This window comes from Homo sapiens, chromosome 2 (genome assembly GCF_000001405.40).
Source record: "Homo sapiens chromosome 2, GRCh38.p14 Primary Assembly".
Lineage (NCBI taxonomy): Eukaryota > Metazoa > Chordata > Mammalia > Primates > Hominidae > Homo > Homo sapiens.
The window spans coordinates 15,517,025-15,536,226 of NC_000002.12; the positions used below are offsets into that span (position 1 = coordinate 15,517,025).

At 36.4% G+C, this 19,202-nt stretch overlaps 1 protein-coding gene across 9 annotated transcripts in view, besides 1 other annotated feature; it reads right to left on the minus strand.

The window, feature by feature from the left end:
- The window catches only part of NBAS (NBAS subunit of NRZ tethering complex), a 782,426-nt gene that overhangs the window by 738,116 nt on the left and 25,108 nt on the right, over positions 1-19,202 (minus strand). For all 9 annotated transcript variants that reach the window (XR_007076390.1, NR_052013.3, XM_017004317.2 and 6 more), the window contains one exon: positions 17,519-17,617. Coding sequence is in view for 7 of the 9 variants with exons in the window: in XM_017004317.2 (XP_016859806.1) it covers positions 17,519-17,617 (99 nt within the window). In the remaining 2 variants the exon portion in view is untranslated. The remainder of the gene's footprint in view (positions 1-17,518; positions 17,618-19,202) is intronic.
- Positions 15,382-15,597: a silencer, noted in NCBI's record as "fragment chr2:15672530-15672745 (GRCh37/hg19 assembly coordinates)". NCBI's record gives its function as "represses an EF-1alpha promoter that drives an FKBP-Casp9 reporter gene in an ReSE screen in K562 erythroleukemia cells {active_cell/tissue: K562}" and the evidence as "EXISTENCE:reporter gene assay evidence [ECO:0000049][PMID:32094911]".

Sequence of the window (19,202 nt, forward strand, 5' to 3'; positions counted from 1 at the left end):
GCACACAACTAACTATCCCACAAACTGCTCCAAGGAAACTATAGAGAAATTCTTGCACAGGTATATTCATCTTTTGGCCAAAAAAAAAAAGTTTAGTGTGAAACTTGTTTTGTTTTTTAGGTTTTTTTACTTTTATTTTAGGTTTAGAGGTATATGTTCAGGGTTTTTATATAGGTAAATTGTGTGTCGCAGGGGTTTGTTGTACAGATTATTTCTTCACCCAGGTAATAAGCATAGTACTCGATAGGTAGTTTTTTGATCCCCACAGTACTATTTATAAAGCTGAAAAATTAGAAATATTTCAAATATTTAAAAGGGATGGACAAATAACCAAATTGTTCAGGAAAACATATACAATGTGAAGGGAACAAATACAAAAATATATATTGGAAGGTCACACACCAAAATTATGACAGCTGCCTCTAGAGGGAAGAAAGTGAGACAAAATAATGGAAGTAGGGAATTTTGTTTGTATTATTGTCTTTGATATTTATATATGTCTGTGAATGTATACACACACACACACATAAACATACATCTTAGGTCAAAGAAAGACACATTTAATATTTGTTAAGTGCACGTAGTAGGTACGTAGTTTTACAGATGCTCCTTGACTTATGATCAGATAATCAATAAACCTATTGTAAATGGAAAATACTGTAAGTGAAAAAAGGGTGTTTTATACATGTGATGGGATGTCAAAACACACAACACAATATCCAAAACATGCTGGCAACACAGTACATAGAGTATCGTTTGCTTGCCTCATGACCTGATCACATTACCCTCATGGTTGCATGGTAGACTGGGAGGTTCAGTTCGCTGCCATACCCAGCATCACAAGAATATCCTACACATACTGCTAACCCAGGAAAAGATCAAAATGCTAAGTACAGTTTCTACTGAATGTGTATTGCTTCTGCACCATCATAAAGTGGAAAAGTCTTAAGTTAAAAAAATCACAAGTTGGGGACCATCTGTTTATTACATCATTCTCTGTACTTCTCCTTCTCTCTCCCTTTTTTTTAAACTTAAAAAGAAGAACATCAAGATACAATGTCCCAAATTATGCACATAAATTTCTCTAGTTAATGAAGTCTAGGGGAAAAAAAAAAAAAAAAACAGTGAATTGGCTTTAACACGTTGCATCAACCCACAAGTGTAGTGAAATACTCAAAAGGAAATTATCATATAATTTGCCTTGTGGTATTTTGAGGTTGTATATGCATTAATGATTATATCTTAAGTATTCTGGGACTGGGACTTACTACTAAAATAATTATTAGATTTTTTTAAGAAATCTAGTCTATAAAAGCTAACATTGTAGCAAATAATTTATATCATTAGCGTTATTTGTTTTTGCATTAAATTCCTTCACCTGGAATATTTACATGCAGTGGTAACCATTACATCCTCAAATATACAGAATATTTGACTTTTAAGTGCTTAATTTCAAAATAACATTTTGAAGCAAATATTTTCAAATTATCCTATGAAGATACAGTAAAATGGAATTTTTATAATACAAATTAAATCCTCTACACTAAAGCACACAACATGGGAATGAATTAGCAAAACTTTACTTCCCCTTAACAAAAACAAGAGAGAGAAAGAGAAAGAAAAAGATTATATTACCCAATAATCTTTGTATTAGTCCATTTTCACGCTGCTGATAAAGACATGCCCGAGACTTGGCAATTTACAAAAGAGAGTTTTATTGGACATACAGCTCCACATGGCTGGGGAGGCCTCATAATCATGGTGGAAGGCAAGGAGGAGCAAGGCACATCTTATGTGGAATGGCAGCAGGCAAAGAGAGCTTGTGCAGAGAAACTCCCATTTTTTTAAAATCATCAGATCTCATGAGACCCATTCACTATCATGAGAAGAACATGGGAAAGACTCGCCCCCATGATTCAATCATCTCCCACCAGGTCCCTCCCACAACACGTGGAAATTACGGGAGCTACAAGATGAGATTTGGGTGGGGACACAGAGCCAAGCCATATTACTCTTCAACCTCAAATTTTATGGAAAATAGCAGGAAAATGATGGGTCTAGAATCAGAAGTATCAAGTTCAACTAACCTTTGCTAAAAAGAAACTATATAATCTTGAGACATTCCTTTCACCCATTAACATTTACTAAACTGCATATAACCAATAAGGAATATGCTAAGCCACTGAAGAAACATCTTAGTAAACTACTTCTAACTTTTTGGAAATCAATGTTCAGCATAACTCTTAACTCTCACATTTGTCCAGTATCACATACGGTGTGCCGGTTAGGGGGCTTGCATTCCTTCTGTACCTTCCTTTTCTCAAACAACCAGGGATATGAATTCATATAGAGGAATAAATATGAGCAGAATCCACCACAAGTTCTCATTTAGTTCAACTTCTTCATTTCTTTATTTTTTTTTTAATTTTTGAGACTGGGTCTCACTCTGTCACCCAAGCTGGAGTGCAATGGTGGCGCAGTCACAGCTCACTGCAGTGTACCTCCCAGGTTCCAGTGATCTTCGCACCCTCAGCCTCCCAAGTAGTTGGGAATACAGGCACATGCATGCCTGGCTAATTTTTTTCTTTTTTTAAACTTTTGTAGAGACAGGGATCTCCCTATGTAGCCCAGGCTGGTCTCAAACTCCTAGGTGCAAATGACCTTCCTGCCTTGGCCTCCCAAAGTGCTGGGATTACAGGCATGAGCCACTGTATGCAGCCAAGAATTTGCATTTCTAACCATTTCCCCAGTTTTTCTGATGCTGCTGGTCAGGGACCACATTTTGAGAACCACTGCTTTACTTTATGTTTGAATCTGTTATATGATCTCTAAAAGATATACTTTACTATAGGTCAAATTATGAAGCATCAGACTATTTAGTCAACATGTGCTTAAGAATAATCACAGAAAACTGATTATATTGAATGATTAATTATTAAAGACAAAACATGGGAATTTTTCCTGGACTTCTTAGTTCACTAATGAAATCATTCCCTGGCAATTTGATAACTGGGCATCATATTTAAAACTGAGTGGTACTCGGCTATAATTTTTTTTAAATACAATTTAGAGTTTAAAATCAAGAAGTATGGAAAGGCCAGGCACAGTGACTTACATATGTAATTCCAGCACTTTGGGAGGCCCAGGCAAGTGGCTCACTTGAAGCCAAGAGTTAGAGACCAGCTTGAGCAACATGGCAAGACCCCATCGCTTCAAAAAATTAAAAAATTAGCTGGATGTTGTGACATGTGCCTGTAGTCCCAGTTACTCAGAAGGCTGAGGAGGGAGGATCGCTTGAGCCCAGGAGGTAGAAGCTACAGCAAGCCAAGATCACATACATCACTGCACTCAAATATGAAAGACAGAGCAAGACCCTGTCTCGAAGAAAAGAACTACGAAAAAATCTACGAAGTTCAATACGCCTTACTTTCTACCTCCCAAACAGAACTAGACCCATACTCAGACAGACTGTTGGATGACATAAAATAGGGGCCAGAAAACATTCTGTGTAAAAGGCCAGATTATAAATATTTTAGGCTCTGTGGGCCATATGGTCTCGCACAACTACTAACTTATGTCAGAGCATAAAAAAAAAAACAGACAATATGTAAAACAAAAAAAAGTGTGGCTATGTTCCTATAAATCTTTCTTTATAAACACAGAAATTTGAATTTCATATGATTTTCATGTATGATAAAATATTCTTTTGAGGTTTTTTTCAACAATTTAAAAAATATAAAATCTATGCTTAAAAACAGGCCACATTTGGCCCACAGGCCAAAGTTTGCCAGAGAAAAGCTTACTGGGCATGGGAATCAAAGACATGAATTTACCACTCAACAGTCATGCCCTCTTAAGAAAGTTGCTTAAGCCTCTAGGAGCTTAGGTTTCTCTACATACACAATAGCAGTTATGAAACCATCTCATGTTGTGATGAGTAGGATTCAGCATATATAAGTATCTGGTCATCAGTAAAAGCTCTATAAAGTTAATTTCATCTATTATAACCTTAACTTCAATTGAAGTCAATTCAATGTCAATTCAGAAAGTGTCTAAAACTTGCAAGGTGCTAATCTAGCAGTGTAGGAAATACTGTGTAATGAAATCAAGTATTCCCTGCCCTTGTGGAGTTAACAATCTTATGGCATTACTATATTATTAACTGACTGCAATCTTAACAGTACCTTCTTCGACCCAGCTGGCACAGATGATCCCATCTTATAGCAACATCTATTCTGATTCGTTGGTCACCCTGAAGAGATGTGACCAAAGAAACACTGGTGAAATTACAGTCTCACTCAACTGTAATTTCACCGAAGAAAAGTTTGGAAAAAACCTGTTTTAGACATTCCATTCATACAGTTGTTCCACCTAGCTCTTACGTTTTAATTCTTCCAAAGTCAGGCTTTCATTTATTTACTGAGAAATATTTATTGAGCACCAATTATGTGCCAAGCCCTCATCTAAAAGCTGAAAATAGAGCTGTAAATAACACAGATGGAAGTTTCTGCCTTCATGGAACTTACATTCTAGTGTATTAGTATTGCTTTCTCTCTTTATATGCTTTGACAAAGTCAAGTATATTTAATAATTTAACTAAAATCTACTGACAGGTACTCCATGCAAAGCACCGTGCTGCTGAGACTAATGATACAGTTCTAAGACAGGGTGTTTGGCTTTAAAAACAACAATGACATTTTGAGATATACAGAAATTTACACATGCCTAGAGTTATCTAGACCAGGAGCCAGCAAACTCCAGCCCCTCAAATCAAATTCAGCCCACCATCTATTTTTGTAAATAAAGCTTTATGGAACACAGCCATACTGTGAATTTTATATGTAGTCATGTCTGCTTTCACACTACAAGAGGAGAGTTTAGTAGTTATAGCAGAGACCATATGGCCTGCACAGTCTAAAATATTTACAATCTGCCCCTTTACAGGAAGTGTGCTGACCGTTGGCACAGAGCAAAGAAAACATGAGAGGGTGTAATAGGAAGCTAGACAGATTAAAGGCCAAACCACAAAGGGCCTTTAATACTAATCTAAGAAGTTATATATCTATCCCAAGGGCTAAAGAAAATCAGAGGATTTTTAAGTAGAGAAGTAAATGATCAGAGTAGTACTTTAAGACCTGTAATTCTTTCTGACAACAGAAATGAAAAGAAATTAGAGGAAGAGGAAACAACTTGATAAGTAAATTGGGTCAGAAGTAATGAGGGTCTGAAGTATAAGGATGGCACTAGAAATGGGGAGGAGGAGGCATACTAAAGAAGAAGAATCAATAAGGCTTGAAGATCATGAGTTGAGAATTATCTAACATAAATCTCAAGTTTTGGCCTGGTGGAAATATTATACATCAAGATATGGGAATACATGAGAAGAAGCAGGTTTGAAGGAGGAAAATGATGAACACAGAATATAATAAGTAGGAGGTACTTGTGAGCTATCCAGGAAAAGATGTTCAGTAAGCGAGTGAATAAATAGCTCTGTGGCCTAGGAGTAACTTCTGGGATACAGACTTCAAAGATATTACATATGCATTCAAGTGGTTAAAAACCATTAGGTCTGGATAAGGCTGCCTATAAAAATATATAGAATAGGTAAGGGAAAAAAATATGGCCAAAAGATTCCATTAAAACACCATGAGAATTAATAACCAAGTTTAACGTAGGAGCGATATGCAGTTGACCCCTGAATACCACAGGGTTATGGGCGCCAGCCCCCAAGCAGGCTAAATCCACGTATAACTTTTGACTGCCCCAAAATTTAACTACTAATAGGCTAATGTTGACCCAAGCCTTATTGATAACAAAAACAGTCTATTAACACGTTTTATATTTATTACATACTATATTCTTACAGTAAAGTAAGCTAAAGAAATGAAAATATTAAGAAAAATCATAAGACTAAATACATTTACAGTACTGTACTGTATTTATCAATACTGTATGTTTACATAGTCTGTTTACAAGATCGATCATCTATCTGAAACGGTGCGCACCACAGCTGCAGATTCAACCTATGGCACATATCGAGCAATTCAACTTTTTCTTGTCATGTCATGACTTTTCCCTGCTTCCTGGGAGCACTTCCAGCATCACTAGTGACACTTCGTATGGGTCCCATGGCATTATTCAAGGTTTACAGTACTGCACTAAACACAATGAAAAATACATGAGAACCTCGAGAGATTACTTTTTACTATGATACGCAATTTCCCGGAGAGACTAACTGCTCAGTCAGCCTTCCATAGCCATGGGTTCTGCACACGTGGATTCAATCAACCACAGATGAAAAATATTCAGGAAAAAAAATGGATGGTTGCATCTGTACTGAACATGTATAGACTTTTTTTCTTGTCATTCTCTAAACAATACAGTATGACAACTATTTATAGAGCATTTACATTGGATGAGGTATTACAAGTAATCTAGAGATGATGTGAAATACACAGGAGGATGTGCATAGATTATATGCAAATACTATACCACTTCACATCAGGGACTTGAGCATTTGTGGATTTTGGTATGAACGAGGGGTCCTAGAACCAAGCCTCCACAGATACCAAGGAAGGACTGTGCAAAAATAAATTGTATTTCTATAGGCCAGGCGCAGTGGCTCATGCCTGTAATCCCAACACTTTGGGAAGCCAAGATGGGCAAATCACCAGAGGTTAGGAGTTCAAGACCAGCCTGGCCAACTTGGTGAACCGCTGTCTCTACTAAAAATACAAAAATTAGCTGGGCGTGGTGGTAGACACCTGTAATCCCAGCAACTCGAGAAGCTGAGGCAGGAGAATCACTTGAACCTGGAAGACAGATGTTGTAGTAAGCCGAGATCACGCCACTGCACTCCAGCCTGGGGAACAGAGTGAGATTCTGTCTCTAAATAAATAAATAAATAAACAAACAAACAAACTGTATTTCTATCTACTAACAGTGAACACTGAAAAAAGGTAACTAAGGTAGGAAATATATCTCAAACTTCAGACACTAGTGTACTTCTTTCAAATGATTTTTTGGCATATTAAAGGCATCATTTACATCATCTTATTTGTTCATTTATTTAAAGGTAGCACATAAAAGCTAAATAACTGTGCTTTATCATAACCACTACTCTCTGTGACACCACAGATTTTTTACACAAATTAAATTAAAAATATCTGTGCATGTAAAACGTAAAGCCATCATGCTGCCCTATTCGGGAGACACGTGGTGAATGGAAAAAGATAAAATAATACCAGAAATGGAGTGACTTCCTGGCTGCCAAGATGATGGTGGTGGTTCCTAACTGTGCTATGGGGTGCAAGATGCCCCACACAGGTTTTGCAAAGGCAGATGTTCTTGAGTAAATGTGATGATATAGATTGTGTGCCTGCACTTATTACATGTCCCGGTCCAAACTGGGGTCTGACTGGCATGTTGTAGGCTTCCAAGGAAGTCAGAATAAACACACATGCATACACATGCTCACTCCATGCAGACAGACAAGAGAAGATGGATATCTAGTTCTGCTACTTCTACACCTATGTCAACCATCAATCTTAGCTCCTTATGGGCCCAGTTTTTTAGGCAGCTATAATCAATGGAAGGGAGACGACAACCAAATGAAATTTATTGCTATCCCTCATTAGGGCAACTTCAAAGCAAGGAAGATATCCTAGTCATTATCCCATTGATCCTATTAAATCTCCCAGAGCTTAGCACAAGGATTTTTAACTGGAGGGAAGGACACCTGATCAAGCCTTTGAGGGTAGGACCTAGGTATGCATTTTTTTTTTTTTAATTCTCAACAGGTAATTCTGATGTCCATACCTTGTTAAGAGCCATTGGCCTGGCACAGAATGTCAACACAAGTACTAATGAATAAATTAACTTAAAGTTCTTGGACACTCTTGCCTGTTTCCTTCCCTCAACCCACAGCTGATGCTAAAGAACATCAGCTGAAGACTTAATTCCCTCTTGATCCTTAAGGTGGATTTAAGCAACTTCACTGCAAAAACACAATATATTCAGCATCTACCTATATGGCTTATTCCACATCTACCTTTTATCCAGATTTAAATGACCGTCCAGTTTCTGAAACCAAATTTCCAATTTCCATCCCAATACCAGCAATTTAATTTTTGAAGTCTTGCTCAAACTGGTTCTCCCAGGAGAAGTAAGTCTTGTCTCTGAAGCCGGCTGTTGCCTGCCAGGTATCCCTGACAATGAATCTTCCCACAACGCCTGCTGTTAAACTCTCCACCACAATTTTCCTCTGTGAAATGCTACACAGTAGTCTATACTGACCCTCCTTGGTGCTTGAAGAACTATGGTCTGTGCCCAGTACAGTGCCAGAAAAATGTGGTCCAGAAAGAGTAAATGACTTACTTTGAGATTACACAGCTAGAAAGTAGGACAACCAAGAACAGAATTCAGGGTTCCTGTCTCCTAATCTGGTACACACTCTATTAAAAAATATTTTTAAAATTTTCTATAGATATAGAACCAACCGTAGTAGTGGTGGCACAACTCTATACATTTAGTAAAAATCAATGAATTATATACTGGAACTCAGTGTCAAAGGGTCATCAAGGAATTTGAACATGAGTGGCTTTTCAAAAGTACAGCTTCTCCCAAGAAAGTAGGCATGTTCTCTGCCTTTTGACTTTGTTGAAATGTAAATTAGGGTCTAGAAGTAGTTACCTTCAAACACTAACTAACTTTTTGTAGCTATCAAGGAAATATTGGAAATACAACAAAATCAGATGTTGCTTATAAAAATTTTCAACAAAATTGAAAACAAAAATAGTAACAAAATCATAAAAATTAAAAAGTTATATACTACTGAAAGCAGTAAGTGCCACTTAAAAATCTATACATAAAGTCTTTGATCTGAACCTAACTCATTAAGTGTTAATTTGGGACTGTGTGATTCCCAGATAGGGTATAAACTCCTACAGGACAGGTACTACATTTGAATCTCCACCAGCAAGCACAGTACCCACCGTGAGCGAAAGGCTTAATGCATCTCCTCTAACAATGCAGAGATCAGAGAATCTTCTCAGCCAGAATTAGGCTATAATCTATGCTAAAACCTACAGAGCAAAGAGAACAATAAGAATAGAAAAAAAGATGGCAGCGAGGTGTTGGGGTAGGTTGAAGAAAGGAAGCAAGACTGGAATGAGATAGTCTGCGTGTTTAAGGAGGACAAAATACATTCATTAGGCTGTGAGTTAGGATATATAAAAAAGAAAATAGTCAAAATCCACATATTCATAGAGCTTATCCCAAAGCTTCTCAATTAATTTTTGTTTCATATCACCAAATTTACCACCTCAGTTTCTCTTCTTCAACAATACTCACAACATTAGGCAAAACGATGAATTTCATAAAATCCTGTTTGTATATTACCAATTTATCCAAATTCAACTCTGGCTGATTTACTTCACATTTATAAAATCTTTGTGGATGATAAACATCACAGGCCCACATTACTAGAATAACTGAAAATAAATAAAAATGTGATGAATATTTCAGCTTCTTTCATTTAAAAAAAAAGACCACATAATGGAAAATATAAACAACCTAGCAAAATTTTTGTCATGCACAACAGGCCACTTACACATACTCCTTGCTTTACAACAATCTTCATTCAGAAACAATAATGTAGTTATCCATCTCCAAACTGACTGCCACCAAGAGATGTAAATGATTGTACAACCAACAAAAGGTCCTCCTTCTGTGGTTTGATAATATATCAAACTTTCCAGATGTTCTTATTTAAATGGAGACTGCCCCTCAAAAATACCCTCAATTGCTTAAATCCTGAATCAAAAAGTAAACATCTTAAAAGTAATAAGTATAATCTGACTTAAAAGAAATTTATCCCATAATAATTATTCAGTGTGTAATCATTTCAATCCTACGGTCCCACTTACCTTCCTGAAATAATGCCAGGAAAAAAGAAATCAAATATTGACTTTTGTAACAAATCAAGAGAGTGGAGTAGTCAGTATGAAATAAACAATCAAACAAAAACAGTCCAGCATTAAGATACAAAATACCCTTCTTTTAAAAGGGACAAGAGAAAAAAAAAAAACACAGAAATGTGGGGTATGAAGAAGAAAACAAAATAGAAAAGGAGAAAAAAGGAAAAGTCAAAAGAAAGAAACATAAATTTTCTTTTCTACTCAAAAAATAAGAGTTACTTATTCAAGGTGTCCTCAGAGCCAGAGCTCATATACTATTTGCTGTGGGTTTTACAAAGGTATACAGTACATATTCCTTGCCTTCAAGTAGCTGATAGTCTAATTGGAGATATGGGATATGTGACCATCTGTTTGTACTACCATAACAAAATACCTGTGACTGAGTAATTTATGAAGAACAGAAACCTATTTTCTCACAGTTCTGAAGACTGGGAAGTTCAAGACCAAGGTGCAGTGAGGTTGGTTGTCTGGTGGGAGCTGCTCTCCACTTCTAAAATGGCACCTTGTTGCTGCATCTGCCAGAGGGGAGGAACACTGTGCCCTCACATGGCAGAAGGCAGAAAGACAACGCGTGGAGCCTCTTCTATCAGGGCCTTAAACGCACTCATGAGGGAGAAGTCCTAACGGCCTCATCATGTCTTAAAGCCCTCATGTCTTAATGCCGTCGCATTGGCCATTAAGTTTTAATACATGGATTTTGGAGGGCAGATGTTCAAACTATAGCAGGATATATTCATCAAAATAGAAAAAAATTAACAATAAAATGTGGTGTATTTAAACAGCGCCCAAACTGTGGTACAAAAACAGTATAGCAGTAACATATAAGATAATGAGTAGGTGCTTGTTACGTGTGGCGTGAACCAGTACCTGATCATCTAAGAGTCACCCAGCCTCTAGTATCTCCCTATGGAATCAACATTCCTCAAAATACAAATGATCATATTTCCTCAGCTCAAAAATTTGAGTCCCTTAAAGAATAAGCTGCCTCTTACCACTCCCAATTAATGGGCCTCAACCTGCCCTTCCCATGTCCTATCTCCCACCACCACTATCACCTCCCTTGCCCTCAGACACACACTCTACAGTATCAGCCAAGCTACACCACTTACAATTTCCCAAAACTACACTATGACTTCTTTTCCCTTGCCACTATTAACATTGTCACTTTATCTAGAATGTCCATCATATCCGGATTGTATCCATTCACCAAAGCAAGCCCACGTGCTACCTACCATGCTTCCCTGCTCCTTCAAGCAAGTAGTAGCTCCTTTATCTGGACCCCCACATCACTGTATCTGCATCCCTTTAAGGCGCTTATTTTCTAGCTTGCATTCTAGTTTACATATATAGATTTTTAATATATTTTTATATATATGTACATTTACATATACAATATGAATGTTTATATTATTTATATTATGTTTATATAATATATATTTTTAATATATATGAAATATATTTTTATATATTATATATGTTTAGATATGTAAATGTATATATATACATATATACACACACACACACATAGAACATGCAGTGAAAGAAATGTATTTTAGACATCAGTAAAATATATATGCATACACTGGCCGGGCGTGGTGGCTCACACCTGTAATCCCAACACTTTGGGAGGCTGAGGCGGGAGGATGACCTGAGGTCAGGAGTTCAAGACCAGCATGGCCAACACTGTGAAACCCAGTCTCTACAAAAATACAAAAATTAGCCGGACCTGATGGCAAGAGCCTGTAATCCCAGCTACTCAGGAGGCTAAGGCAGAAGAATCACTTGAGCTGGGGAGGCAGAGGTTGCAGTGAGCTGAGATCTTGCCATTGCACTTTAGCCTGGGCAACAGAGTGAGACTCCATCTCAAAAAAAAAAAAATATATATATATATATATATGTGTGTATATATATATACACACACACATATATATTTCCTATCTAAGAATATGAGATCTTAGGTCAGAATTGCTCTCCATCTTTACATCTCCCCCAACCGCTAACATGGTGCATTCCACAAAGCTAGCCGCAATAAATAAGAGAGTCATGGAAAGCAGGCCAGATAAAGATAGAATGGACTTTCCACCTCATCAATCTTCCTAATACCAACAACTTCTGTAACTGAACACATACGCTTTTTAAGAAACATATTCGAAAAGTATATATATATGTGCTGAGGAAGTGAGGTATTAATAACTACACTTTAAAACAACAAAATTGGCAGGGCGTGGTGGCTCATGCCTGTAATCCCAGCACTTTGGGAGGCTGAGGCAGGTAGATTGCTTGAGCTCAGGAATGCAAGATCAGCCTGAGCAACATGGTGAAACCCTATCTCTCCAAAATCAACAGCCAAGTGTGGTGGTGTGCACCTGTAGTCCCAGCTACTCGAGAGGCTCAAGTGGGAGGATCGCTTGAGCCCAGGAGGTCGAGGCTGCAGTAAGCCAAAATCACGCACTGGACTCCAGCGCGGGTGACAGAGTGAGACCCTCTCTCAAATAAATAAATAAAATAAAACCAAAAAATCAAGCTGAACTAAACCCAAAAAGACTTTAAAGGAAGAAACCTCACTTAAACAATAAAACGGGATCCCAAAGGAAATGTTAACATAAACAAGAGGTCACCCTCAACAGAAATCAAACTAGCAATCAGAGTGCCATGGGTACTGTATATGCAGTATCAAGGCTTGGCAAAATTTCACAACAAAGAACTGAGCATGTCACAGCAAAACAAAGTCTATCCCATTTCTAACAGCAAAATTTAAATTCAAGACAATGTGAAGCTAGGTGCAGAAAATACAAGATCTAACATATTAACCATTGAAAGGCCAGTCTTTATATAAGAATTTGACAAAAAATCAAAATGGCATGATTTTATAATTGTAATATGTTTATTTTATAATCGAAAGTGTTTTGTTAAAATAAATTGTGTAATTATTTGCAGCATATATGATTACATTCAATATTATAAAATGTAAAGACCTCTAACTTCACATATCAACATTCAACTATATCCAAAATAAAACACAAGTCTATTATTTCAGATTACCTACTGTAGTTAATATTTTTAAATTTTTAAATTTTTTCAGTTAGCTAGATTTTTGAAACTGATTATCAAACTTCTTAAGGATAAACAACTAACTCTTAAACACAGGAGCCACACATATCAAAAGGAGTAAGTTAACAGTATTATATTTATTCAATACTAAATAATAACTTCACCTATCATTTCCTGAATACCTACTATGTGCTGAATATTTAACCCTCAAAACACCCTGGGGCTCACTAAATACTCATTTCAACTCCCTTTTCTCTTTCCTTAAGAAAGATTTTTAAAAGAACTAAAGAGAACTTCTATAAATGAAAAATATAACAATAAAATCTAAAATCACAATAACTAATTTAAAAAGGAGATGCAGCACAAAAGAATTAGTAAAATAGGAAATATATCAGCAAAAATTAACCAGAATATAGATTTTTCAAAATAAAATCATATGTATCAATAATTTACCAAAACAATAATTTACAAAAATAATTTACAATTTATAAAAGATCTCAAAAAGCATTTCAAACTACTTTCTTCAATAAGTACATGTATTTATACAGAAAAAATTAAACTAATATTTTACTTCTCTTTTTTCCACAAAAACAAAGGAGGGGAAACAGGAGAGAGTGAAAAAAATTACAGGTCATTCTAAGAGACCCTACATCTAGATAACAGAAATTCCAGAGAATTAAAAGAAAAAAAAATGAAGAGGAAATAATCCAAGAAATAATTCAAAGAATTTTCCCAAAAGTGAGATTACTGACTATCTAAAGTGAAGGGCCAGCACTGTGGATATTAATAAACCTACGCCAAGTCATAACATGGTCAAATTTCAGAACGCCAGGGGAAAAAAAAAGAAAATCTTAGATCTCAGAGAGGAAGACGACAAAAAGCAGAGAAAGAAAGAAAGAAACATGGATTTTATATTACAATGACATTCTCAAGATAAACACTACTAGAAGCTAGAAGAAAATAGAACAATACCTTCAAAATTTAATGGAAAAAGTATTTCCATCCTACAATTCTATCCGGTCAAATGATCAATTAAGCACATGAAGATAAAATAAAGCCATTTTCAGATATGCAGGGCTTCAAAAAAATATTATTTCCCATGTACTGTTTCTCAGGAAGTTACAGGAGGTTGTGACCCACCAAAACAGTTAAATAAACCAAGAAAGAAAAAAACAAATCTAAGGAACAGGTCACGCAACCAAAGAGAAATAGGGAAGCCATCTTCTGGATAACGGTGAAGTGAAATTCCAAGACAATAGCTATATGGCAGGTGTCAAATCCAAACTGGAGTAGATCAGAAAGTTCTGAGATCTCCATCCATGGCCGTACCACCCTGAATGCACCTGATCTCGCATGATCTCAGAAGAAAGTTCTGAGACCTCTTCAAGATGATCAAACAGCACACCTAAAAGGAGGTTTACACTATGGGGGTGAGTTTAGGGGAAAGTCTGTGATAAGTACATTTCAAAACGTGGCAAATTAAAAAGAATTATTAACTACAAGGAGAATAAATAAGTAAGAAGTTACCAGGTGGGTCTTACTATAGCATACGAGGCCCTGCATGATTCAGCACTCACCACGCTCTCTTTGACCTCACCTTATTACTCTGTGTCACTATCTGCTTCAGCCTAACTGTCTTCACTGCTGTTCCTAGAAAATGCCAAGCACACTTCTAACTCAGGGCTTTTGCTTTGGCTATTCCTGCTGATAGAATACTCTTCCCCCAGATACCTAAAAACTAGTAATACCCTCACCTATTCCAAGTCTTTGCAAGTCACCTTCCTCAATGAGGGTAATGTGGCCACCATATTTCAAACTAGAACTTGCCCCCTACTCTCCCACCCTTCCATTCTCCATCTCTGATTATTTTTTTCCCATAATACTTAGCTCCTCATGTACTTTATATTCATTGTTTGTTGTCTGTCACTCCCTCGAAAAGTTCCACGAGGAAGATATACCCTAAGCACCTGGAACAGTATGTGGCACAGAGTAGGAAATCAATAAATGCTTGTTGAATGAATAAATGAATAAATAAAAATGGAAAATCACTGAAATCATGAAATATGGAAAATCATTGAAATCATGAAATACTATACAAGCTTCTTTTCTTACCTGTAAGTATCAGCTACATAACCATAATAATAATCATACTATAGGACAGGCATGGTGGCTCACGCCTGTAATCCCAGCACTTTGGGAGGCCGAGGTGGGCGGATCACGAGGTCAGGAGATCGAAACCATCCTGGCTAACATGGTGAAACCCCGTCTCTACTAAAAATACAAAAAATTAGCCGGGCTTGGTGGCAGGCGCCTATAGTCCCAGCTACTCGGGAGGCTGAGGCAGGACAATGGCATGAACCCAAGAGGCAGAGCTTGCAGTGAGCCGAGATTGCGCCACTGCACTCCAGCCTGGGCGGCAGAGTGAGACTCCATCTCAAAAAAAAAAAAAAAAAAAAAACTATAAAATTATGATATAACAGGATTTAACATATAACAGGAGAACAAAGTGAAAATTCTTTGTGCATACTCGTGGTAGAGTAAGAAAACTAAATATCCATCTTCCACAAAGGGAAGTAAATAAACATTGTGTAAAATTGGAATCAAGAAGTACAATGTAAGCTTTTTATTTAAATGTATGAAAACAATCAAAAGAATCAATTAAAATAGCTAAAAGTGGTTACCTTTGGAAAGCAAGAAGTTGGGTGGAGGAGTCAGTTTTTAAAACTAAACACTTGAAATTATGTGCAAATACAACTCATAAAAATTAAATGTAAATATAAGAAAAAATTTTTAAGAAAAGTCACATCTTGGTAAAAAAAAATACTCATTATGCATATAATAGACTAAGAATTAATATCTAGATTATATAAAAATGTCAACAACAAACCCCCTATCAAAAGAAAAGAAACAAAACCAGCATTTCATAGATGAGAAAACATGAATGGCCGATAACATATGAAAAGCTACTCAGTTTCATCAGTAACCAGGGAAGTACAAATTAAAACCAGAGTGACATGTTCTTTTACACCTACCAAACGAGCAAACATTTAAAAGTCTCACACCATCGAGAGCACTAACGAGAATGTGAAACGAGAGACACTTTCATAAGCTGCTGTTGGGACTGTAAACTGGCACAAATACTCTGGAAAACATTTGACATTATCTAGTAAAGTTGAAGATGTACTAACCTGACAATCCAGCATTGGCACTCCTAGTTACATATCCTATAGAAACTTTTGAACATATATATCAGAAGAATGCATAATTATTTCTACCACAGTACTATCTTTATAACAAAAAATTTAGAAACAAACCAAATTTTCATCTATAGGAGAATGAATAAATATGTTGCAAATTATTTGTAAAATGAAATGTCCTAAATAGTAGTTAAAAATGAATAAACTAAAGCAAAACGTGCACCAAAAAGGAAGTCACGAAGTGAGACTTGTATGTCTTCTGTGTGATTCCATTTACGTGAAGTCAAAACAGCAAAACTAAATATGAATGAGTGATAAAACTATAAAGAAAGCAAGAAAATCATATACACAAAACTCAGGACAGTAATCATCTCTAGAACGGAGACGATGGGATTGGGGAAGAGCACAAGGAGGACTTCGGGGGGTGTGCGTGTGTGTGTGTGTGTGTGTGTGTGTGTGTGTGTGTGTGTGTGTGTGTGTTCTAGTATAAAAATTTCATAATAATAAAGTCCTGAACTAAACACAGACATATGACTGAATAGAATACAAACCTGCATACATTTCCAAGGAAAAAGACTTAAGTATACTGAGATTCCAAGTTAAGGACTTGTCAATAAACACAGAGTAAATCTCAAAATTCAAAAACTCAAGTTATGTTTGTCTTATTCAAAATATGATACTCTTCCCATTTATGAAACCAAACATTTAGCTTGGCTATCCTATAAAACGTATATGGCTTCTGTTCTCAAATAACAAAATTAAAGGGGAGAAATCACTGGAAGTAGAAAATGCCATAAGGTTTCTAGTAAGCCTCAATGTAGATGCAAATACACAGAAAAGTGGCATATGTGAATGATGGGACACAGTTGCTGGAAGGAACTGTGCAACATCAGTGCAGCGGTAACTAGCAAGGAAAGAAAGAAGGGAAGTAGCATCTACTGAGGCCGTTCTGTGTGAGGGCACTTTATATATAGCACTAGTTCTCTCACTAATTCTCTTGAGTTATGTATCATACCCATTTTACAGATGAGAAAAATAAGGTCCGGGGGTTAAAAGAGGAGAATAAATTCCTCATTGAATATTCCCAGTGCCCCATCTGGCTCAGAAGAGCTCAGTGAGCCAGATAGATAAGCATGAATAATCAGATGACAACAGTATTATAGATATTAAAGATAACTACGCACAAGAGGAGGAAATTAAGAAGTCAACATAAGAATCAGAATAGTTTCTTCTATCTGAATCTATGCCAACATTTCTATGTCCCACTAAATATGAGAACAAATGGTTACTTACCTGTGACCAGGGTGGTAAATAGCTGTGTTGATTCCATGAGGATAATGACTACTGAAGCTGAAACAGTGACTTTCTTGGTAGCTCTGATTTGTTCCAACACTAAATTTAAGAGGGTATGAAAGAAGTAAATACCATTAAACCACAATGAATATCACTAAATACCCAATAAAATGTTTAGAATTTAAAAGACAGACAATACCAAATATTGCTGAGGATATAAAACAACCAGAACTCGAATACGTCACAATGAGAAGGTAATTGATAAAACCACTTGGTAAAAAGTGTAGTTTTTTATAAAAATAAACTATGTCTCCCCTATGACCCAGCAATCCCACTTGAAGATACTGACCCAAGAGAAATGAAAATGTATATCCATAAAGACTTGTACAAGAATGGTTGTAACAGCATTATTTGCAGGGGCCAAGAACTGGAAACAGGGTTCTATCAATAGAAGAATGGATTTCTAAAATCATGAGCTATTCATACAATAAAATACTAATTGTAAGTAAAAAGAAATAAACTAGTGATGTATGTAAAAATGTGAATGAATCTCAAAATATGATGAATGAAAGAAGACTTAGATAAAAGAGTACATACTACAGTCATTCCTAGGCATCCCTGGGGAACTGGATCCAGGATGCTCAGAGGATAACAAAATCTGTAAGTGTTTAAGCCCTTGATATAAAATGGCATAGTAGGCCAGGCGCAGTGGCTCACGCCTGTTATCCCAGCACTTTGGGAGGCCGAGGCGGGCAGATCACAACGTCAGGAGATCGAGACCATCCTGACTAACATGATGAAACCCTGTGTCTACTTAAAATACAAAAAAATTAGCCAGGTTTGGTGGCGGGCACCTGCAGTCTCAGCTACTTGAGACACTGAGGCAGGAGAATGGCATGAACCCGGGAGGCAGAGCTTGCAGTGAGCCAAGATCACTCAACTGCACTCCAGCCTGGGCGACAGAGCAAGACTCCGTCTCAGAAATAAATAAATAAATAAATAAATAAATAAATAAATAAATAAAAATAAAAAAATAAAATAAAATGGCATAGTATTTTCATATAACCCACACATATCCTCCTGTATACTTTGAATCATCTCTAGATTCCTTATAATATCCAATACAATATAAATGCTATGTAAATAGTAGTTATACTATATTGTTCAGAGAATGACAAGAAAAAGTCTGTACATGTTCAATACAGACACAATTTTTGAATGTTTTCAATCCACAGTATCAAATCTACAAATGCAGAACCCACAGATACAGAGGGATGACTGTATATTATTCCATTAACGTAAACTATTAGAATAGGCAAAACTAATCTGTGATTTTAAAAAAATTTTAAACACTAGTTGTTCTGGGAGTGGGTATGGAAAGAGATTTACTCGGAAGGGGCATGAGGGAACTTTCTAGCATGATGGTAATGTTCCGTATCTTGACAGAGGTTTGAACTGCACAGATGTACGCATTTGTCATAACTCACCAGCTGGTATAATCAAGATGTATGCATTTCACTGCATGCAAATTTTACCTCAAAAGGAAGAAAACTATAAGCAAATATTAAACTCTAATAATATGCATGCTAAAGCATTTGAGTACTGATATGTCCAACTTACTACGAAATGATTAATAGCCGGATAGAGGGGTGGATATATGAATAGAAATATGATATAGCAAGCA